We start from the raw sequence: 24,792 nt of genomic DNA on the forward strand, positions 1-24,792 counted from the left end.
ATCTTATCTTTATAAATTACTCAGTGTCAGATATTTATTTATAGCAGTGCAAGAAAAAACTAATAAACCCATCCTGACATCAGGATGTTACTTGGGATAATGAGAGGCTATGCCCACTCGCTGAGTTCAGACAGAAGCAAACCACTGGGCTGGAAGCTCTAGCAGGCATTGTCCATCAGACTACTAGTGGAGAGGTTGGGGTCACCTAACCTGCCATTTGGGTGTTTCTGGGGACAACAGGAGGTTGCATCCTCTGGCTGAGTTAACACAGAAGACGGACCACTGGGCTGGAATCTCTAGCAGGCACTGCCTGTGGTGTTACCATTGGCAGTGGTGGGTGGGGTATCTTGCCCAGCCATTCAAATGCTTCCTGGGACAGCAGGTTGCTGTGCCTGTGCTGAGTTTAGGCAGAAGCAGACTGCTAGGATAAAAGCTGGTATCGAACCTTATCTGGCAAGTAGGAGTTAAGCAATCTTTCTGCTCACAGGTCCCATGACTATGTCCTCTGTTGGGGCAATGGTGCCAGTGCTTGTCTACTCTTGGGCCCAAGGCTTGTAGAGGTTCCCTTGAACTTGAAAGTTGCCACCACAAAACATCTGGGCGGCTCTTTGCCTTAGTCTAGAAGGTTGGTGGCAGGGATGAGGGAAGGCCAGGGGATTCTCACTTTTCTTGTCTTGCACAGGTCCTCATGGAGAGTGTGAATCCCCCAGGGAGTTCTCATTCACTCACCCTTTCTTATGTTGGAGAGGCTCTCCTGGCTCCATGTTGAGCCCAGACAGGCTGGTTCCCAGCTTTGCTCCTCTCTGCTTTCTGTGTCTGCTGCCATGATGCATCTCAACATGGTTTCTCAGATAACCAGCATTCTCCTGTAAGCAGGCTATAACATTTATAGCAGATCCATAGAAAGCAAAGGTGTAAACTTATTGTTACCCAGAGAATCATAACCAGAATGAGTGATTTATAGAAAGATTGACTTTTGTTGTGGAGTCCACATAACACATGATCTAGATAAGCCCTCTCCTAAGTATTTACAAAGAACCATGTGAGGAGCTTCTCTCTTGTAAATAGTCCTCTGGAGGATACCAGTTACACTGACTACTCACTTCTGAACAGGAACATGTAATGCCAGATTCTGTGGAAATATATCTCCAATGTGCTATCCTGTAGGATGTTGAAGGGAGGCCAGGGTGGGTTGGGCAGGGTAGGTGAGAGGTGGTCAAGGCAGTTGAGGCAGTGGTGGTGGAGCCTGAGGTGACCAAGGTGGAGGCAATCATGTCTCTGTATTCTTAAAAAGTATTCTCACACGAGTAATTTGGCTACTGCCTGGCTTAGATTTAATTTAATTATAGCACAGGAGGCTCTAAACCAGAGCTGACTTGGTGTACTTTGTTTCTTATACGTTGAACAACTTGTTCTAACAGTTCTGCTTTTAAATTTTAGAAAATTGCTGCAATAATATATTCAAAAAATAATTTTTTAGGACCAATAAATTACTGTTTGAGGATTATCAAAACCTGATTTTTAAAAATGATGTCAAGATTTAATTGTGATCTCAGTAGGTCATTAATAATGCCTATTATATTATGGTTCATAAGATTAGACTTCAGGTCTGACTTGCACTTGCTCTGTATCTTCTTTTTTCAGGCCATATTAAACATGGGTTTTTAAAACAAAGATTAATGATAACCAGTATAGAACATTTTAAACATTATTGGAGGAAACATTAACAGCAGGCCTTTTTTATGTAGTAGAAATGCCCCAGAAGAATTACATTTAATGGTTCTTTTTTTAAGGAACAATAAACGATAAACAGAATCATACTTTCGCATCTAATTACAATATGACTTCTGAGGTTATTCCCATTAGAAAACTGTTGACTCTGAGGAATGCCTCCCTACCAGACAAAATAAAGCTTAGGGGTAAACACTTTATAGTGTCACCAGAAAATTTTAGATTAAAACTTCAGCAGTATATACTCAGAAAATCAATTATTGTCTAAGTCAGCATTATATGTTACTGAAAACTTATGTTGCAAATGAGACAATTAAAAAAATATGTCTCATATTACTAAAGAGGCACCAAAAGTCCTTTTTCAACAACTTTTCCGTGTGGTGCTCCTTATAGATTTTTTGGTACCATTGGCTATTTCTCTCCAACCTTGGTAAAGAGTGTTCTACTACAGTAGATTTGTAATGTACATTCACTTTCACTTACAGTGATGGTGTACTGTTTTTATAAATTACCACCACTCCTACCCCACTCTTCCCTCCACATCTTGCAGTTGCTGAGGCTTTTAGGAGAGAAACTGTGTGAGGCAATGTTTGGATGGTAAAGGGAAAGTAGAATCCAATTAAACATCAAGAGACAAAATAAGACCTGAGGAAGAAAGGTTACTTTTGTAATAATATAGTATGAAGAAATGACCCTGTTTTAGTATATTACAGTATTCTTGCTATATAAGGGCTTTATCATGTAGTTAAAATAACATTGCACAGGGAAGCTGACTACCCTCCTTCTGTAGAAAGCAAGCTTTCACATGAAAACTCAAGATAATCCATTACCACAGTTCTGCTAGAAACCTGGAATATGTTTCTAAAGAGGAAGCCAAGATCGTTATTTTCATTTCGCATTGATAACGAATGGCATCAAGGTGTTTAAGAGACTAGTTTCTCTGTTGAATGTTATATGAATCCATTCTCTGTGGTTGCACAATGTGGCTAGGAAGCAGGGGATCCAAGCAAGGTGCCTAGAAGTTCAACCTGATCTTTGGGGTTGGTTTTGATAACTGTAGCATTGTACAAAGTTTGAGAGAGGGTGTAAAATGGTAAAGGACTTGCCAGCCCAGGAAAAAGTAGAGTCAGAGGTCTGTGTTTCGAAAGTTAGACCTCTTGCATTTTGCGTATTTCCTTTTTTATTCTTAATATTGTGAAGTCTTTTTAAAGCCAGGACAATTAGGCAAGAAAAATAAAGTCATCAAAATTGGACAGGAAGAAGTAAAACTATCTCCACAGATGTCATAATTGTAAAATAGAAAACCTTGAAAATTCCACAAAATGCCTATTACAGCTAATAAACAAGTTCAGCCAAATTGCAGAATACAAGATTAGTATACAAAAATCAGTTGCATTTCTATACCCTCCCAATGAATGATTCAAAATGGAAATTAAGAATTTCACTTACACCAGCAAAGATTAATAGGAATAAATTTAACCAAGGAAGTGGTGGGAGTCTTGTACACCAAAAAATACAAATTATTGCTGAAAGAAATGAAAGAGAACCTAAATAAACGGAAAGACATACTGTGTTCATGGATTGGAAGATTTAGTATTGTTAAAATGGCAATATTCCCCAAGTGGATCTGCATATTAATTGCAACCCCAGTCAAAACACCAACTGCTCCCTGCCTTGTTTTTGCAGAAATGGACAAGCTAATCCTAAAATTTATGTGGAATTGCAAGAGACCTGAAGTAATGAGCAAAGTTGGAGAACTGACACTTCTGATGTCAAACTTACTGTAATACTACAGTAATCAAAATTTTTGTACTGACAAAGATTGACATGGGTCAATGTTGCAAAATTCAGGGTCCAGAAATAAACCCATACATCTGTGGTTTATTGATTTTGACACAGGTGCCAAGGCCATTGAATGGGGAAAGAATAGTGTTTTTCAATAAATGATACTTGGGCAAATGGATAGCCAAATGTAAATGAGTGAAAATTGATCCCTACTTCACTTCATATACAAAAATTAACACAAAATGTACCAAAGACCTAAATGTATGAGAAAAAAGTATACAACTCTTAGAAGAAAACATATGTGTACATCTTAGTAACCCAGGGTTTGACAAAATTCTTAGATATACCACCAAAAATATAAGCTATAAAAGAAAAAAATGAATTGATCATAAAAATTAAAAATTTGTGTATCAAAGGACACTATCAAGAAAACGAAAACCACAGAATGGGAGAAAAATATTGCAAATCATATATCTGACAAGGGACTTGTATGTAAAAGATATACATATCTTAGAACTCAATGCTAAAGAGACAACCCAATTAAATAATGGAAAATGATTTGCATAGACATTTCTCCAAAGAAGATATACAAATGACCAACCAGCACATCAGAAGATGCTCAACATCATTAGAGAAATACAAATCAAGATCATATGATTTGCATCACCTCCAAATCACCCTACTAGAATGGCTGTAATAAAAAACATGCAATAAGTGTTAGCAAGGACGTGGAGAAATTAGAACACTCATAAATTTCTAGTAGAAATATAAAATGCTGAAGCCACTTTGGAAAAGTCCAAAAGTTCCTCAAAAATTTATGCATAGAACTATTATAAGATCCAATAGCTTCACTCCTAGATATATACTCAGAAGAAATGAGAAAATACATCCACAAAAAAAACTTGCACAATAATGTTCACAGCATTATTGTTTATAATTGAAAAAACATGGAGAAAACCCAAATGCCCATCAACAAACATAATGTGGTATATTAACAGAATATTATTCAGGCATTAGAAGAAATAAAGTACAGTAAGTCCTCACTTAACATCGTTGACAGATTTTTAGAAACTGTAATTTTAAGTTAAGCGACACATAAGGAAACCAATTTTACCAACAGGCTAATTGAAATAGATAAGAGTTAAGTTCCTACCAAATATTTCTGGTTACAGCATCACCAAACTTCTAAAGACTAAAATACTTCTAATATTAAACACTGAAATAAATATAAGCTATGCATAGAATTAAGAACAATAAGAACAAGATAATTATTTACATGCTTATTCCAGTTTACAGTAGTGGATCGCTGCAGCCTATTTTAGCAGCTCAGAAGGCAAGGCGGGAACCCATCCTAGACAGGACTCCAGTCCATCACAGGGAACACACACACACACACACACACACACACACACACACACTCATACTGGGATCATTTAGGCATGCCAGTTAACCTAAAATGCACTTCTTTGGGATGTACGAGGAAACTGAACTACCTGGAGAAAACTCATGAAGACATGGTGAGAACTTGCAAACTCCACAAACAGTGGCCCCAGCTGGGAATCTATTTTCTCATCAAAATTATAACCAAACAGCATTGAACAAAATTGAGACCTGCTGTAATGATACAAATTACAATGGAGATTGACCTGAAAACGTTTTGCTAAGTTAAAGAAGCCAGATACCAAAGGCCACACACATATTATGTGATTCCATTTATAATAAATGTTCAGAATAGGCAAATCCATAGAGATAGAAGGCAGATTAGTGGTTGCCAAGGGATGGAGGTGGGGGATAAGTTGGGCGAAAATGGGAAGAGACTGCTAATTGGTGCTTTGTTTCTTATTTGGGTGATAAAAATTCTCTGGAATTAAACAGTGGACACAACATTGTGAATATACTGACAACCATTGAATTATATACTTTATTTTTATTATAATTAAAATGGTGAATTTTACTTTATATTAATTTTATGTCAGTGAATATTAAATATTTTCATGAATAACACAATAGAAAAAAATTAAGCACAATATTTCACTAGCTATATTTTTGAAGATATAACAAAACACAATCATCGTCAGAGTCTTTTTATTAAGATAAATCCAGTAAAATTTGTGTATTCACATATAATCAAAACTGCCCTTCTGAAATAAACATTTGTATTTATTTTAAAAATGGGAATACAATTTCATTTTTCCCAAGCTAATAATAAAGTTATATTTGGGAAAGATAAGTTTAACTCTTAACATTACATGAAAATAGTTCACCTTCTTTATAAAAGCAACCTGCAGAACAAGAATGTTGGATGAAACTCTTTTTTTGGGATCCCTCACTTTATGAAATTATCACATGTATAAAAGAGTAAAATTAAAATTCAAAGATTTGACATATAACTTACACAACACGAAATTCACTCACAAAGTTGAAAGCATATTTTTTTCTATGTATTCCACTACTATAATCACAAAATTTATAGATAAATGTTTCATGTTAGAAACTTTATGGCTAATAATCAATATGAAGATGTTCTGAAATTAAATCAATGCTAAAGAAAGGCTGTGTTTATAAAATTTTTGATAAAAATATTTATCTCTATTAACTTTACAACATGAAGGTACATGTTACCAAATTATGAAACTACATAGGGCAGTTTTAAACAATACTCTGTGGCTCCTCTTTTTTTCCATCATCTTCTTTGATCTCATCTTCCTCTTTTCCTTCTTCCTCTTCTTTTAAATCTTCTTTCTCTTTTCCAGCTTCTTCCTCATTTCCACCTTCATCTTCTTTTCCATCTTCTCTCTCTTTTTCATCTTCTTTGACTTTTACATCTTTCCCCTCTTTTTTATCTCCCTTCTCTTTTCCATCTTCATTCTCTTTTCCATCTCCTGTTTCTTTTCTGTCTTCTTCCTCTTTTTCATCTTCTCCTTTCTCTTTTCCATCTTCTCCATTTCCTTTTCCGTCTTCACCTTTTTTTCCATCTTCTTTCTCTTTTGCATCTTCTCCTTTCTCATTTCCATTTTTATCCTCTTTTCCATCTTCTTCCCCTTTTTCATCTTTGTCTTCTTTTCCAGCTTCCCCTTTCTCTTCGTTTTGATCTTCTTCATCTTCTTTCTGATCTTCTTCTTCATTTTTTACTTCTGCTGCCACTGCTTCTTTCTTTTCTCCTCCCTTTTCTGTGGCATCTTCAATATTTTCTTCTTTTACTTCCACAATTTCTTTTTCAGAAGCTGGTGCCTGTAAGTATAGTGAAAAGAAAAACAAGATTCTGTCTGTAAATTTAGAACCATTTCCCCTAAATATTTACACTGGATTATATCTATTTCACAGAAAGACTAATACTTCATTTAAAGAAAGTAATTTTCCTGTGAAAGAAGCCTGCTAAATATCACATTATGAGAAAACATTCTAAGAAATGAGATTAACTAAAATATGTCCACGGAAATATCTACAAATAGATATTTGAAACAATAAATACAGAAACACTTATAAATACTTTTTATTTCAAATATGAAGAAGCACAAAGTAAATACTTAAAGGATGACATATATTTATTCTGTATCAGCAATTCTTAATGAGGACTATGCATGTAAACAAAATATAGTCCTTGGAAAATAACATATTTTGTTTCTATAATAATGATATTTTTTATGTAAAAATTACTTGAAAAGTACTGTACCAGATATTATAAGATAACTTACAAAAGATTTTCCATATTTGCATATGTTTGGTTTATAGATTTGGTGGCTACACCCATTTTCAGTGTTTTATTACAATACCTAAAAATGTTGTATGCATTAAATATGCAAAATAAGATTAAAAACATTTATATAATGATTTGCTTTGCCATCCACAGAGGAAATAAAAGAATCATAAATTCTGGAAAAGGGATTTACAAATAGCCTGTGTGCTGATAAAAGGAATAAAGATTGGCTTGTATTTAATAAGAAGGTTGTTATGTTAGTACTAAGTCATAATCATTGGCATTGTTCTAGTAACAGCAATGCTAAGCCACTGCTCGCACTACTGGTCCCTCTAAATTCTCATATTTTAAGTTAATTTTATTTTCCTCTTAGATACCATTATACTATAGAACCACTGCTCACTTAATTTTTTTCCAACTTATAAACTAAAAGGCAAATAGGATTTCTTTCAGTTGTACCCATTGTTAAACTTTCAAATAGATAAAACTGTTAACATTAGAAAATACCTCTGTAATTTTGGCTTCTCCATTTTTAGCATTTTCATTGTAGTCTTCTTCAACAACTGCTTCTTGCTTGGTTTCAGCAACTGCTTGGGCACTTGTATCTATGTTTTCTTCCATCATATCACTTTTTGTCTTCATTTTCTGCCAAGCAATATAAAACAATGAAAGTAAATATACAATTTAACTGCTGTGTTGATTAAATGGTCACAATTATTTTACCAGCTGTTGTAATAATTTATGCAAACTCTTTAAAGTATCACATATAAATCTGGTATCAACAAAATTATCATATAATATCTTCATTGTAAATTTCATTGTAAGCCTAAAGCAGGATTAAAAATGAACAATGTTCCCTTGATATAAACAAAATAAATTTCCTTTTAAGTTGAGTGATATAGATGAGAGGCAACCAGTTAGAATGCTGACTAGTTGCTGCCAAGGACAAACTGCTGGCATCAGGTTAGACTGATCAATTAATTCCCTCTGTCTAGAGAGGGTCAGTTTATTTCTGTCAAGTCTAATTAATAAGGAACAGGGTTTTGTTGATCGTTACGCCTCCATTGGTAATAATTAAGAGAAATGCTGTTAGTGAGAACAACAATTTAGATATATTTTTAAAAGACCTTATGGTGATGTAAGTGTTTCAATCTTTGTATCTACAAGTTTGGAATGCCCTGATTCATGACGACTTCACCAAGAAAATTTTTGCCTACCTGTGTATGTAATAGAAAGACCACTGGATTGAGGGGCCGGAAAACCTGTGTTTGAATTCTAGATCTGCCACTTATGTGATGTGATCTTGAGCAAAGGCATAAGTATCTTTGAGGCTGTTATTTTCATATATAAAAAGAGAGTAATACCACCCACCTCACGGGGATGTTACAAGGAGAAAATGAGAAAACACATGAAAAAAATGCTTTAGAAACTGTAATTTGTAATTTAGATATAAGTTATTACTCTTTTAACACATGAGAAACAGAGCCAAGGAGGGTAAAGTCTATGGTTATATAGTATATGTTTTAGTCTAGCCCTATTTTTCTTTTCTTTTCTTTTTTTTCCGTTTTTTTTTTTTTTTTTGAGACAGGGACTCCCTCTGTCGCCCAGGCTGGAGTGAGGCAATCTCTGCTCACTGCAACCTCCTCCTCCCAGGCTCAAGCAATCCTCCCACAACAGCCTCCCAAGCAGCTGGGACTACAGGCATGCCCGGCTAATTTTTGTATTTTCTGTGGTGATGGTGATTTTCTATGTTGCCCAGGCTGGTCTCAAACTCCTACGTTCAAGCAATCTGCCCATCTCAACCTTCCAGAGTACTCAGATTACAGGTGTAAGCCACCACGTCTGGCCTTACTTTTCTTTTTAAAAGAAAATATGCTGTATTTACTGTTTTAAAAACTAGTAAGTTGAATATTTAACCTTATATAATAGTGGACTTGAAAAGTAAAATGCAGAAAAAAAAACCTTCTTTTCTTTTGTCACCATTAAATATATCAATTATTACTAAAACTTCAATTTCCCTAAGTTTAGCAATATTTTTTAATAAAGGATTTCATTTATGAACATAATGACAGTTTATACTTTCTTCAACTACAAAGTGATAGGATTAGATGCTCTCTAATGTTTCTCATAGCTTTAACCTTTTATGATTTCAGGAATTCAATCAATATTCTTATGTATTAAGCAATTAGCAGTAAACTAAATATTGAGATTATATCTATTTCTACATGCCTTTAGCCATAACACCAGAGTATATAAGTCCATACAAAATCAATTGTGTCCATTTAAAATTAACATATGCAAATACATCTTACATATATTATATATATAATTATATATAATCTTATATACTTTGCCAACTGTAAAATATTATCAAATGTTAGTTACTACTTTTATTACAAAGCACAACTTTGGGGTTACTACTGTTTTCACCTTTTGTTTTCCCAGGGAAACAGTATTGTCACTATATGATAGCAAAGGCATGTACATTTAATGGGCCTATCCAACTGAAATTGTTTTGTCTCTACCCAGTGAAAATGTCAAAACACTGTGGACAATCACAAAACAGAACAAATAATCCCCACCCAAGGGGTTTACATGTATCATATGATAGAATATAATATATTACTAACTGAACAAAATATAAGCAAAGTAAAATGATCAGCTGTATGCCATTTCAAAAATTATTTTTGAAAAAAAAAGCAAATTTATTTCAATATTCTACGTTGAATATTTACCCTTGAACTTGATGTTCTTTTAGGCTTCACCTCTGGTGTAACTGGCACAAGCATCTGCTTCAAGTTGTGGGAAAAGAAAAGAAAAGGAAAAAAATCATATTTGAAGAAAGAACGCTAAAAATGAAATCCAACCTCTGAATTAAAATAAATGAGTATTAGGAAAAAAAATACATTTCCTTGGTGTGAAAGTTTTTCTTAAAACTTCAAAAATAAATCGTGTATTGAATATTTTAGGATTCCCTAAATTTTAAAATGACGTTTCACAATACATGGGCTGCTTTTTGAAAAGATTACTTACAGCAGACAACCTGGCAGATCTTCTCTTTGGCTATAAGTTAAAAACAAAAATCTGTTAAGAGAATTATGGATACAAAAAGCTAGAATTATTTTTATTGAGGTCAAAATATTTGGTGTAACAATACATAAATATTGTCATTAAGTAATTGTGAATTTGGTTAGAAAATACAAGAGAAATATAAGTTTTGATTTTTCCGTCCTCTGAACACTTTACATACTAAGGAAAAAGTCCCAAATTAAGCTTAAGCAGCTAGGCTAAATTAACACAGTAGCTAGTAACAAGGAGCACATTTAGAAATGAAAATATAGCCTTTTCTTGCCAAATGACAAAGCAATTATTTTGCTTAAAAGGAAGAAGTTCTCTCCACATCTGAACAAGCACAATAAGGTCTTAAATTCGAAGAAGCTTGCAGTTTTTAATACTTACTATATATACATTTTTTTCACACTCAGTATATTTTTATTGTGCATTAATTAGATTAAAATTAATAATATGCATTGACCAAAATATTAGATTAACAAGGCCATAAAGGTAAACTGAGAGGTTTCTTTAATATAATTGTCGCACAACAATGATTCTCGCTTTGTAGGACATATAGAAGATGGCATACTCTAGGAGTTAGAACAATATATATTTAATGCAATAACAAAAACTATATAGTACTTTAAGAAATGTTTCACATATGTGAACAGTCATTTAGAGCCTCAACTTTCTAAAGTAAGCAACATGTAAGCCTGTAAAGTACACACACCAAATCATAGTCTAACCCACAAAACACCCAAATAAAATATTAGCACATCTCTATTGTCAAGAATATTTCCGTACCATCATTTCTATAAAAAAAAGTGAAAAAGCCTTTTCTTTTATTCTGAATGGCAATTTTAAAAAGTCCTCTCTTCTGAAATTCGGATATATATTTTTGAGAGATCCCACTGGTATACCATATTGGAACTCATATTGTACAAATATACCAACCAGCATCTATTTTTTAGCTGCTTATGTCAAGTTTATAAAACGAGTGGTTTTTCCTAATAGATGCTAAGACTAAAGAAACTCACCTCCTGCCTCATATCACCTTGACCTGCAGCCTACACAGAGGAGAAAACCACACAGAAATAAGGTCATTGATATAAACACATAAATCAGAAAATACTGCCTGCGGATTACAAATTTCAATATAATTGCTTATTACTTTCTCCTGGGTTCCTGCTCAAGTAGACACGTGTTGTTTCTTAGGAACCATGCTACATACTGCTGTTTTACTAATGTGCACCAAGATGCAAGTGCATGCACAAGACATACTTTTACACAATTGATAGTTAATTTCATCCTTTTGTGTAAATTGCATCTCCTAAAAGCAAACCTTTGTAATTTTGAAATCCACCTGCTTTAGATAATGTAAAAGCCAAAAATGTGGGGGTGGGTCAAATGAAGGCGGAGCTTCATGCAATTTCGCTTTCTTGCCTTATGTTTGCCATGCAATTGTACCTATCTTATCCTCTCCACTGATTCTGGACTATTTTCTCCAAGTTTTGCATGCAAGAATTACAGCCCCCACAGTGTTTTCTTGGGGAGACCTCTTTGTTACAAAGTCAATGCTTTATTCTAAGAAACTGGCCGCCGATTTTAAAACTTCCCGCCACTACCTGCTTTAAGGTTGCTGTCAGCTCTGGAAAACAGCAAGACCTACTGCACAAGTATAGAAAAGCACAGTGGCGGGAATCTCAGGAAGGGGGGATGGTGATTAGAAACAGTTGTTTTCCATATCTGAGCAGCCCTTTAGCCTGAGAATTATCAAGCTATTGCACGATTCAGACAGCCACAGAGCACGGGGGAATTTCAGTATTATTCCTATGTTTTAGGAATAAGGAAGGCGGAGTTGTTTATAGGAATAATCCAAAAACAATCATAATGTCTTAGCATAGTGTTATACGGTTTTACCAAGCAATGAAACAGCGTTCGATTTCACTTCTAGGGGACTAAGAAAAAAACGCCGAGCGTGAACTTGTTTCCTGTCTGCGAGGAGCCAGGAATTGTGAAGTGAGGGTTTGCAGAAGACCTGTGGAGCTCGAAAGGCTCAGATCAATTCTGCACTACTAAAGTGAACAAATCCATGCTACCCCAACATCAGCAAGTTTATCCGACGCTGTCTCCTTATAATCTTCCCATCTTTAGCTAAAGAGCTTGGAAAGGTCCAGCTTTCTCACCCCTAAAGTTTCTAATTACAGCGGTGAATCTCTGTTCTCTAGGACAGTTTGAAGTCTGCGCCGCCTAATGGCACAGGATTACCATTGCATAGCCATCTGGCCTGACAAGAAGTGGAGGAGGAGGGAAGGAAAAAAAAAAAAGAAAAAAGAAAACGGGAAGAACAAAGGCAAATACAGGAGAAAGCCATGGCTTTCGTTCCCCAGACGGGACGGTTCCCCGAGAAAAGCCGGTGGCAGAGGAGGAAACTGAAGTATGGTTGGGAGAAGTGTTCTCCAATAGGGTAAGCGGAGGAAGGGGGTTGGGGTAGGAAGCGACAGCCCAGCGCTATGGCTGTTTGTAATTCAGCATGGAGACACCTTTCAAGAGATTCTCTCCTTAAACAGAACACTCCAAAAGTGAACTACCAGTTGCATGCAAGACCATCCTAAACCTTACACCGACTGCTCTTTGCCCTTCTACCCCTTTCCGTTTCATTACATCACAAAATGGAAGAAGCCAAAAAGCTTTAAAAAAAACCAAACAAACAAATAAATTCTTCCTATTAGGAAATAGGTAACTCAGCAGCTCATTCCCCGTCTGTCTTTCCATTTCACTTACCTTTCTTTTGGGCATTGTTGTAGCTCTCTATAGGAGATCTTAGTCAGCAGAAAAAAAGCCGAAGGCAGTCACTGCCTGACTGCTCCAAGAGCAAATGAGTTTTCAATGAACTAACTGCAGCACGACCTGTACTCTCCTCTGGAAAAAAAAAAAATCCCTCGTTATTGGCAACATTAAACACGCCAAGACGCAACCAAACTACGTGAATGGTTAACCGGAGTGGGAGCCACATTGGAGTGACAGGCTCTCAGGCCAATAAGAAGAGGCAGCCGGCTTTGAGGGGCGTGGCCCGCGAACTTGCCCGAAGCCCTCGTTCCCTGTCGGCTCTAACCGCTGGTGTAGTGGCGGAGCACGCGAACTTAGCAAGGGCTAAGCGATCAGGAATAAGAACAGCAGGAAAGCCAGAGCTGACTTGATCAGTTTTTTTTTCTTTTATGTTATAATGACAGGCGAAAGCCACAACAGTTGCTTTCTTCACAGCCTCCAAACCCGCCACCCTTCCCTATTCCTAGCGGGATAAGTGCTTTTAAGACCAGTTGAGTCTGGGCTCCGGTCTTTCCCTGCCACCTTTGGCGGGATGGTGTTGAACCGACAAGAACATTCATTCAGAAAGCGCAAAAGAGTGGAGATGTTTCTCTGGTGTGGGAACATCCTGCCAAAGCAGAACTGTGGTGCTGGCAAGAGGAGGGTGCCAAAATGGCGTGTTTTCCGCAGGTGTAGAGTAGCGACAAAACCGGGAGCTATACCGTTATCCCACTTGGAGGAGGTATACGAAGAATTCAGCGGGACTCCGAGGGAAATGTGTAATAGCAGAGGTCTATCCAAATGAAAAACACTGAGAATAGATTTTTAATCTGAAGGTTGCATTTAGTGAAAGGACTCAAGAAGGTGCTATCCACGAAAGTGTTTAGGACTCAGAACCTAGACTAGCATAAAGCCATTGAGGTACTCGCCTCAGGCACAAAATTTAAGCTTGTGACAAAAACCCAGGAGACTAGGATGAGGCGAGTGAGGTGAGTCACGCAAGTGCAGGGTATGATCCTGTCTTTATTTAAATTTTTGATATTTTGTTCATCATGGACTTTTTTGCAAGAATTTTGATATTTAAAAAGATTGTCTAAAAATATTAAGTATCTTCATTACTGAGTTTCTAGGCGGCCCTTTAAAATTTTTGCCAAAGGAGAATGTCTCCATAGCGTCACTCTAGTCCCAGCCATATTTAGGTGACTTTCGACTGTAAGAGAGGCTTATAGGTGCCTTTCAGTGTCAGTTTCTGAGACCTAAAGTTTTCAGGGTTGAGGTGGAGATTGATGAATAAATTACTTGGGAATAAATATGATTAAAATAGAGGATCTAATTCCCCACCGCCCTTTCTCAGAGGCGCCTTGATGTGGTTGTTGTAAGAGCTACCTGTGTATAAAAGTGCTCCCAAACAACAACCCAAATCCTTATCCTGGAGGGTTAATCAAAAAAGAAATTTAACCTTTTGAACAGTTACTTTAGGAAGAATTCATTTGTGTTTATGTAGGTTAAAAAATTTGGAATAATCAGTTTAAGAGATAAACACTGTATCTGCTACAGAGTGCCAAACCATCCCTTCAAGCAAAAATACAGCCTAACAGAATAACCCATTGTAATTATTATATTTACTATTGCTATATTATTTTTATTTTGTTATATATTTATATCATTATTATTATTATTATTGCCCATTCTTCCCCAGCACTGATAGTATGGAATTACATAGATCAGGTAGAATGAGCCTGCGTGACTGCTGCTCAGTTTCCTTCCCCCAACTTCATACTGCATTCTAATTCAAGTAAGTAAATCAGAAAGATATTTAAATTGCTTCCTTCGTCCACAGTTATTGGGATAATCCCTAGATGTTCCTGATGTCACTTTTTGCCCTTATGGTAAAAGCATTCCTGGGTGAACTTAAATATGTTTCAATCATTTTATTCTCCAACAGTTAGAAGATAAGCATAAAAATTGATTTTAATATAAGGATTGCCTCATAAGGATAAGAAGAAAAATGAAGGGAATGAAAATGTGTCAGCAGTGGAATGCATCCATTCAACAAATTCTTATTTAGCATTATTTTGTGAGTCGGATTTTGTTTTTGTAGACTAGCTTATGAAAATGCGAAACCCTGTAGCATGCAAAGTTGCATTACACAGCTTCTGTCTTTAAGGAATTTTATAATTTTGTAGGATTGAGCAAACAGATGCATACCTATTTACAAATCAAAGCTGATTGTATTATCTGAATGGTGCAATCTAAATTCAATAATAAAACAGGAGGGAAGGATCTTTTAGGACTAAGGTAACTTGGCAAAGGGTTTGATTGAGGAAGTGGAATTTGGCTTGCCTGTGAACAGTTCGGTAGACTGTTACATTACAGCAAATGCAGCGGCAGGAAAAGGTTGTACTTGTTCAGGGAACATAGTGCCTAGTCCAAGTGGATTGAAACAAATTATCTTGAGGAGCCTTGGAAGGTAAAGCTTAGAGAAGCAAAGCATAATGTGCAGGTCAGTGAGCTCTAAAACTCCTCTTAAATTTGTCAGCAATTTTCTTTTTTGGCCAGTTTTTTCTTCTTGAAGGCTAACGTGTTGCAACTGTGATTTATATCTTATTAAATTGAAAAAATAGTCATGCATGCAAAAGAACATTTTCTAAGTGTGAAACATTCTTCTGTTTCTTGACCCCAATCCCCCATTTCCTCATGTTCTTCCTTCTAACCATTAACCAGAGCGGTCCTTTACATTAGCAAACCTGTTTAGGCTCTTTGCCTTTGCAGTATTATTACCTCTGACTGCAGCCCCATTCTCAAATATCTTCACCTATCAAATGTTTACCAAACTGTTTAGACCCAATCCAAATATCACCTCTTTGACAAAAGCCTTCTTCAATTATTTTAGCCCTAAGAAATTCTTCCCTGCTGTTATACTATACAATTTAGATTGTACTACTCATAGGACACAAGCAAGCTTGATTTTTCCTTTTTTTCCCAACCACTCCATCAAACTTCTTCAAATTGGGTCAAACTTGTATATACTTATTTCCTTTTGCCTAAATATTTACTCAGCACATCACACTCTACATACCTTCTGTAGAATTTACTACTTTTCCAATATATTTTTCTAAAATTGATAAATTATTCCAGAGTAAAAAGGTTATTTTTGTGTAATTGTCAAAGTGAGACTTTTTACTGGACTATTTTTTTCTAAGATTACGTTGGCTTGTTTCTCTTTTTAATTTATTAATGACTAGGAAAATTGATTGCCTGACAATTCTCCACAGAATTCCCTAATTTTACCTGGCTATTAAGCATGCCTACTACCACTCCCAAAATTTACAGGAACTGTAACGTGTCCATTTAGTAACCAGTTAAAAATGACACAGGAAGATATGAAAATTTATGGATTAAAGGCACCAACATTAAGATATATTGACAGAGAATCCAAAAGAAAATATTATGTATTTATGAGAAAAGGAATGCTAAACAGCCAAGATAAAACAGGTCTTCAAATGTTCTGTATATTCATAGTTTAAAATTATATATATATATGATTAATTAAAAGCATTCTAGATACACTACTTTGCATGCAATGGGATCTCAAAAATACTGATTGACTAGTAAGAAATACTTTATTTTCTCTGTTAAAATATCTCTAATTTTGACCTCATGCAACACCATTATTATTCCTGTTGTATTTTAATAAAATAAAAAATTGGAAAACTATATACTATTGTCAGCAAATAATGCAAGAATTCTATCATATTATTAGAATACAGTGTTTTAGATTTTTTTTGTTGGTATTTTCAGAGGGTAAAATAAATCCAAGTCTACAGTGAGCCAAATACATCAATACACTTATTTCTGAGCCTTGTTTAAGATTGATATCAGAAATTTATTTGAATTGATGATGCCACTTAGCTGAGACTGACTCTGGAAAAACTGTAATTCTGGTGACCCAAATCTTCCTATGTCCTATGTTTATTTGCAGCAGGCCAAAGACTAATAAAATACTGAATTAAAGAGTAGCCACTGATATGACAGATAGATTATTTTTCCAGTGGTAAAAGTAAATTGAGCTGCTTTCTAGGGGTAAAAGGAATATAATACATTTTATGTTTCTATTTGTAAAATTTCTACCGACTTTTAAAGTAACAATTTAAAAGAATGCTATTTTTAGGCTTTCAGACATTCAAGTTTAGCAGATACTAATAGAGATTTTCTAGTTTCAATACCCTTGGAATACAGATGAATAAACACAAGCCCAGAGAGCTTAAATGACTTGCGAAAGATCATCTATTAAAATTTAAGCAGTTGGCTGGGTGTGGTGGCTCGCGTCTGTAATCCCAGCTCTTTGGGACGCTGAGGCGGGTGGATCACCTGAGGTGAAGAGTTCGAGATCAACATGGCCAACATGGTGAAACCCCATCTCTACCAAAAATACAAAAATTAGCGGGGTGTGGTGGTGGATGCCTGTAATCTCAGCTACTTGGGAGGCTGCGGCAGGAGAATCGCTTGAACCTGGGAGGCAGAGGTTGCAATGAGCCGAGATCATGCCACTGCACTCCAGCCTGGGTGACAGAGCAAGACGCAGTCTCAAAAAAAAAAAAAAAAAAAAAAAATCAGGCAGTTTTTTTCACTTTTTTACTAAAAATTTTATCTACGGTTGTGATATCAGCAATTACACAGTTTATACAGAAATGTTAATGACTAAATGACACATTTGGTAAACACGAATTATGTTCCATCTCAATGACCTTAAAACTCAAGATGAAACTCTGGCTGTCAACCTACTTCAGATATATCTTTTTACTGATTCATTGGATCCTCACTCATCTATGATCTTAAACTTGTATTCTCTAGTCAGTTTTCTATACCTCAAGAAAGTAGAAAATTCAGAAGAGAAAAACTACTTTTTACCTTATTCCTTTATTTGTTTTTTGGTCTAAAGTAAGTCTGGTGAATGTGAGTTTTTAATCTTGAACGTCCAAATGCTTGCCCATGTTTTCTTCTTTCCCTTGCCAGCAAAGAGGTTTTCAGATAAAAATTGCGGATGAGATTCATTATTGGTTAAATGTTATTTGAAGATTTCTAACATCCAGTAGGTGTCATCATTTACTTGAAAAGAGTTTCAAACTTTCTTACTTTATAAGATTTCAGCTTCCCTTAAATTTATTTATATACATAGTTATTGTTTAAAATTAAAAGATTAATTGTATATATTAAGATGTACAACATGATGTTTTGATATACATATAATGAAATGATTACTACGGTCAAGCAAGTCAACATATTCAACAACAAAAAAATTATTGTTTTGTGGTAAGAGCACCTAATATCTACTCTCTTAGAAAATTTCTAGGGTATTTACTAAATCCTATCTATTGAACTTAATTTATACTTTTGGTATAGTTGATATCTATGTTTTTTTGCATGAAATAGACTTTTAAAATCTTAATATGATAGGAACGTTTAACCTTCATCCTCAACTTATAGAAGCACAGATATTAATTCATAGCTTTTAAAATATGGAAATGTAGATTGTGACACTTCTAAAGTTTTGCGGCTATTGTGGCACATTGAAAAAATGACATCTTTAGTTTAAAGCAATTATATTTTCACTTTGTTTATTTTAATTGGCCTTAATGTTCAGGCTTTTTCTCCTTAGAAAGTTCACTAATGCTGGTTACTCTTACAAAAAGAAATGAAACAAGAATTCAAGAACTGATAAATGCCCCAGGCTGCCTATATGAGACAAGAGCCTATTTTCAAGAATAGATCAGTTTTCGGTGTAGTCCAACTGTTCACTAGTGAGGGTTGATTAGAAATAATCACCCTTCATGAGAGAATAGTGGTGACCTGTCAAATAGGTTGTGTGTTAGAAACCAACATCTTTATTAAGAAAAATATTCAATTTAGTAAACTGATGGCATTTTAACCAAAAGCTAAAGTTAAATGCGATTTTTTAGATGTCTGTAACAATTGATTTTCTTCAGTTTGTGTTATGCTAGGATTTTTTTTTTCCTTTTCCTGTTTTGGGCTTTATCCATTCACTTAGAGCCTTACTTATCATTTTATAACAAGCTTCATATAACCTACGAATTGTTTCGTTTTGTTGTAAATTATTTGAAACACATGGGCCATCAACTGGAGCTTGCTTTAACTTAGACACATTTAAGGTGAGATAAAATGATGTTAAAACTAGTTGTCTTTAATCCTCAAAGTGTAGATATGAACACTCTGATGAAGTAGCAGAGCTCAAGTAGATTTTCTTGTATGGGGAATTGGCAATCTTTGCTATTGCTAACATTAACTGTATAGTCCTTTAAGAGGATAAAAGGACAAATGGCTCTTCAACAAAGGTATTAAATTTTAAAATGCTCTAGAATGCACAGCAAAGCTAGAGTACAGGAAGGAAGAAAGAAAGGGAGATTCACTAAGGAGGAATCGTTAAAATTTATGTCTTAAGAGTCATATTTGGAGGCATCATATATATGTGTGTGTGTGTGTCTGTCTGTGTGTGTGTGTTCTTACCTTCTAAGGACATGGTGACATTCTCACATTTACTTGTTTTTCAAGGAATCATTCTTTTTTGTTTGTTTATTTCTATCCGTTTTTTATTCAGTCTATGCTCACTTCCTTTGTTAAACAATAGCTGACATGCTTCAATCATTTACACCTACTCAAAACCTAAAAAGATTATATTTTATATTGAAATGAGTAACAATTCAAGCAAATGGACATGCTCAATTCTCACAAATTTTAATGACGATAGTATAAATCCACATTTACATATTTTCATTATTTCCAATAAACTAAGCATATCTTTGGAACTCCTTCCCTTGGTTTCAGGGTTAAATTGCCTAAGTGGAAATAAGATAATATTTTTAAAAATATGCTCTCTAAATAGTTTACTTGTTGGAATATATATATTGTTTAGTCTACTTCATATACAGACACATGATCAATTCATGTTTAAGGGAAAATATAATTACTCCTTCAGTTTCCTATTTGTTTTTATGTTCTAGTTTACTTCTAAATTTATTGTAAGATTGGATACCATTTAGCACTTAATTTCTTCTGAATAAGGCCCACACTGGAGATAAAAAAGGTAATAAAATATATATGGTTCATGCTTTTTTGGTTTGTGAGATGGGTTTTGCTCTGTGAAAAATATTAATATTTGTATAGCTCTTGAAAACAGAAACATTGTTTTGTGAGTTTATGCTAATTTTTGTCAATAAATGTAGCATTCTATTGTATTTGGTTATCTTAATTTCATCTTTAAAATAACTGTGGTAAGATTAATGTCTTGAATATTAATTTTTGCTTTGTTTACATTTTAAGAGCTTACTCAAGTCTTCGTTTCTTCCAGGCAGCCAACTGCTAATGACCATTTGAAAATTACACTGGCTAGGTTCTTGAAATTTGTAGAACTTATTTATTAGAGAAGAGACTCCAAAGAGTAGGAGAGAGAAAAAGAGCCATATTGAAGGAACTTTGAACTTTCCAGAAAGCAGAGGAGGTGACATGATGTGTGATGGAAAAAAGTACCTATTTGCACATAGTGTCCCAGACTATAAAGTGGCTGTGGGACGCCAAATCAGAAAATAGGAATAGTGGAAGAGGGTCATCTCTGAGAATGATTGGGAAAGAAGTACTTCAGAGACAGGTGGCAAGAACTGGCACTGGAGAGCAGCACCAATTTATACTCTGACACAGAAGCATGCTCACTTTGACATTACAGCATTTGGTACCTGAAAAATTATTCATTTTTAAAAATTGAATAGATTGAAATGGCTTTTTTTGATTTGCATATCTTTAATTACGAGTGAAGCTGAACATTTTTTCATATGTTTGATGACCATTTGTATTTCCTGTCTGTGAATTTTTCGACCATATCCTTTCTTTTTCTACTGGATTTTCTCTTTCATTCTTTCAGCTCTTAATAGTGATATTTTTTTCTAGAGAGAAGACTTAAGCTTTTATGTAGTCTTATTATTTTCCTTTATTACTTCTGGTTGTGTTTTCCTTTAGAAGAGTTTCTCTATTCCACAGGTATAAACAAATCCATTTACACTTCTCTTTATAAATTATATAGTTTGACATTTTATAGTTAAATATTTGTTCAGTCCTCTGGAATTTATTTTGGTTTCAGGAGTGAGTGGGGGATACAGCCTTATTTTTTTGAAAATATAAGCCAGTGTCTTGGCGGCATAGAACTTACCATCTTCAGGTAACGAAGTTGAGGCTAGAGCAGTTAAACAACTCACCTAAAGTTTCTAAGTGAGTTATTAGCAAAGTAGAGACTAGAAATCTGGTCTCCTACTTAAACTTTTGGCCTGTAATTTTTCCAACAAAGTACGCTGACTCATTGTCACCTTCTCTACTTAATTAAGTACTTTCCTGGCTTGACAGCATTCTGATTTACTCTAACCCAGTAGAAATTAGATGAAAAAACTTTTTAAATTTAAACAATTATCTCCTTGCCACCAGGAAAGTATGAATTAGAAAATGATTTATTTCCTTGTATAGGGAAGATTTATACCAGGAACTTTGGAGAGAGAGACCAGGTGTGCTTTAAACTGGTGGTTGGCATAAGTCTGGAAGGTAATGATCATAATGCTATCATGAGAGAGGGTTGGAGTAAGAATGGTAACAAAGTAAGAGGGGAGAACTGGACTTCTTTATATTTTTCTCTTAGGCTAGACCTCACAGAATTACTAGTTGTATGTAATTAGTAAGATATGCTTTAAATTAATAATAACAGCTTGCACTTATCAGGATCTTACCATGTATAAAGTACTTTGTTAGGCTTCATATGAATTATCTCTGGTCCTCAGTATACAGATGATAAAGCTAGTAATTGTTGAGTAAGAATTCAAACTCAGAACAGTTTGATTCCAGAGCCTCTGCTCTCTTAATTAAACTTCAGTTCTTTCAACCTTTATTTCTTTTCAGTAATTCTGCTTTTGAATCTTAGATCAGAAATCTATTATTATAAGAAAACTCAGCATATAAAATTTTGCTAATGTAATTAATCAAATAGAGAATTAATTATGCTTGGTTTCCTGTCTTGTAGTTTTAAATTTTCAGTTCTCCCTGAGATACCCTGCCATCGTGCCTCCAACTGAGAAATAGCTACTAGATCAATGCTTGTAGAACGTAATTATCCTGACCACAGTTGTAATTCATATGCATTAATTCCACAAATATTAATTGAGCACTACAAGGGTCCAACCTCTGTATCAGGCTCTAAGGATACAAAGATTTGACTCTGATTCTTGAGAAGCTCACACTCTAATAAAAATAAGTGTGCTTATAAAAATTACACTGTAATCTGAAATGTGATATAAATGAGATATGTGAAAAACATTATGGGGACCAGAGGGAGAACCAACTAAAACTGTCTGAAAGTTGGGTCAGGGAAGAACTTACTCATGAGGCAAAGACAAACAAGAGAGATGGATGAGCATTCTAAGTAAAGGAATTACTAATAATACCATAATTTTTACCCATCCTCAAAAAGTAATATTTTTGAGAACACAGATTTTGTGTGCTAAGTATTTATTTTTCTTAGTACACAAGAAAACAAATACATAACTATTAAAACATTTGCCAGTGTGTCCCCGCAAATTTTCTTGTGGACCACCAATGGTAGTGTATCCACACATTGAGAAGCATTGCTCTATTAGCAATACTGGCATTATTCCCAGGGCTCAGTGCAGCTGTGTGGGTTTTTTATATAACTGGACATTTGCTGTCCATTTAGGCTATGTCTTTCTTAGGCAGTGGTGAATGGATGACATTTCGTTTTTCTTTCTTGACTACAGAGAAGTGGAACACTGCATTGAGTATAGTCAGGTGAACCCCTGCAAAGGACCTGTGTGGGGATTGAAAAGGACTTTATGAGTATCCAGGATGAATAGAAAATATGACCTTGCAGCTTCCATTTTAGGCAAACAAGGGCAGATATGAATCATTCAGCTGATCTGTGGAATAATTTAGCCTCCTTGCTTAAAATGTTGACAAGACTGGCGAATATATGGCATATGTACCATCATGTGTATGTCACATAATTTCACTGACATATGAAAAATTAAAATTATCTTTATCCCTTCGTGTTAAAAACTCTCAATAAGCTAAGTATTGAATGAACTTACCTCAAAGAATAAGAAACATATATGACAAACTCACAGCCTACATCACACTGAATGGACAAAAGCTGGAATTATTCCCCTTGAAAACTGGCACAAGACAAAGATGCCCCATCTCACCACTCCTATTCAACATAGTATTAGAAGTTCTGGCCAAGGCAATCAGGCAAGAGAAAGAAATAAAGGGCATTCAAATAGGAAGAGAGGAAGTCAAACTATCCTTGTTTGCAGGTGACATGATTCTATCTCTCAAAAACCCCATCATCTCAGCCAAAAAGCTACTTAAACTGATAAGCAACTTCAGCAAAGTCTCAGGATGCAAAATCAATGTGCAAAAATCGCTAGCATTATTATACACCAACAACAGTCAAGCCAAGACCTGTCATGAATAAACTTTCATTTACAGTTGCCACAAAAACAACAAAATACCTAGGACTAGAGCAAACTGGGGAGGTGAAAGATCTTTACAAGGAGAACTACAAACCACTGCTCAAAGAAATCAGAGATGAAACGAACAAATGGAAAAACACCCCATGATCATGGAAAGGAAGAATCACTATCGTTAAAATGGCCATACTGTCCAAAGCAATTTGTAGATTCAATGCTATTCCCATTAAATTACAATTCACATTCTTCACAGAACTAGAACAAAACTATTTTAAAATTCATATGGAACCAAAAAACACCCAATAGCCAAGGCAATCCTAAGCAAAAAGAACAAAGCTGGAGGCATCATGCTACCCGACTTCAAACTATACTACAGGGCTAAATAACCAAACAGCATGGTACTGGCATAGACCAATGGAATAGAATACAGAACCCAGAAATAAGACTGCACAACTAAAAATATCTGATCTTTGACAAACCTGACAAGAACAATCAATAGGGAAAGGATTCCGTGTTCAATAAATGGTGCTGGGATAACTTGCTAGCGATACTCAGAAGACTGAAACTGGACCCCTTCCTTATATCATATAGAAAAATTAACTCAAGATGGATAAAGACTTAAATGTAATACCCAAGACTACAAAAACCCTAAAAGACAACATAGGCAATGACATCCTTGAAATAGGAACAGGCAAAGATTTTACAACAAAGACACCAAAAGCAATCCCAACAAAAGCAAAAATTGACAAGTGGGATTTAATTAAACTAAAGAGCTTCCACACAACAAAACAAATAAACAAACAAACACCACCAATAGAGTAGACAGACAACCTACAGAATGGGAAAAAATTGCAAACTATGCATCTGACAAAGGTCTAATATCCAGCATCTGCAAGGAACTTAAATAAATTTAGAAGAAATAAAACAACACCATTAAAAAGTGGGCAAAGGACATGAACAGACAATTCTCAAAAGAAGAAATATAGTGGCCAACAATCACATTAAAAAAAGCTCAACATCACCTATCATTAGAGAAATGCAAATCAAAACCACAATGAGATACCATGTCACACCAGTCAGAATAACAATTATTACGAAATCAAAAAAAATAACAGATGCTGTGAGGTTGTGGAGAAAAAGGAACGCTTATACAGTGTTTATGAGAGTATAAATTAGTTCAAC

General features: G+C 35.0%; 1 protein-coding gene across 7 annotated transcripts in view, besides 1 other annotated feature; it reads right to left on the minus strand.

Moving 5' to 3' along the window:
- Window positions 5,216–24,792, minus strand: part of HMGN5 (high mobility group nucleosome binding domain 5) — an 88,215-nt gene continuing 68,638 nt past the window's right edge. Inside the window, exons 2-7 of one of the 7 annotated variants that reach the window (NM_030763.3) lie at window positions 13,052–13,189; window positions 11,305–11,334; window positions 10,247–10,276; window positions 9,949–10,002; window positions 7,721–7,858; window positions 5,216–6,747 (exon numbers count right to left, since the gene is read on the minus strand). In NM_030763.3, the coding sequence (NP_110390.1) occupies window positions 6,166–6,747; window positions 7,721–7,858; window positions 9,949–10,002; window positions 10,247–10,276; window positions 11,305–11,334; window positions 13,052–13,066 (849 nt within the window). In that variant the 5' untranslated portion in view covers window positions 13,067–13,189 and the 3' untranslated portion in view covers window positions 5,216–6,165. Of the gene's footprint in view, window positions 6,748–7,720; window positions 7,859–9,948; window positions 10,006–10,246; window positions 10,277–11,304; window positions 11,335–13,051; window positions 13,193–24,792 lie in introns of those variants that run through there. The other 6 variants (XM_047442510.1, XM_047442511.1, XM_047442514.1 and 3 more) reach the window with 6 other exon arrangements.
- Window positions 13,469–13,698: an enhancer, noted in NCBI's record as "active region_29791". NCBI's record gives its function as "activates an Ori minimal core promoter by ATAC-STARR-seq in GM12878 lymphoblastoid cells {active_cell/tissue: GM12878}" and the evidence as "EXISTENCE:reporter gene assay evidence [ECO:0000049][PMID:35858748]".

The sequence above is a fragment of the Homo sapiens genome, chromosome X, assembly GCF_000001405.40.
Source record: "Homo sapiens chromosome X, GRCh38.p14 Primary Assembly".
NCBI lineage: Eukaryota > Metazoa > Chordata > Mammalia > Primates > Hominidae > Homo > Homo sapiens.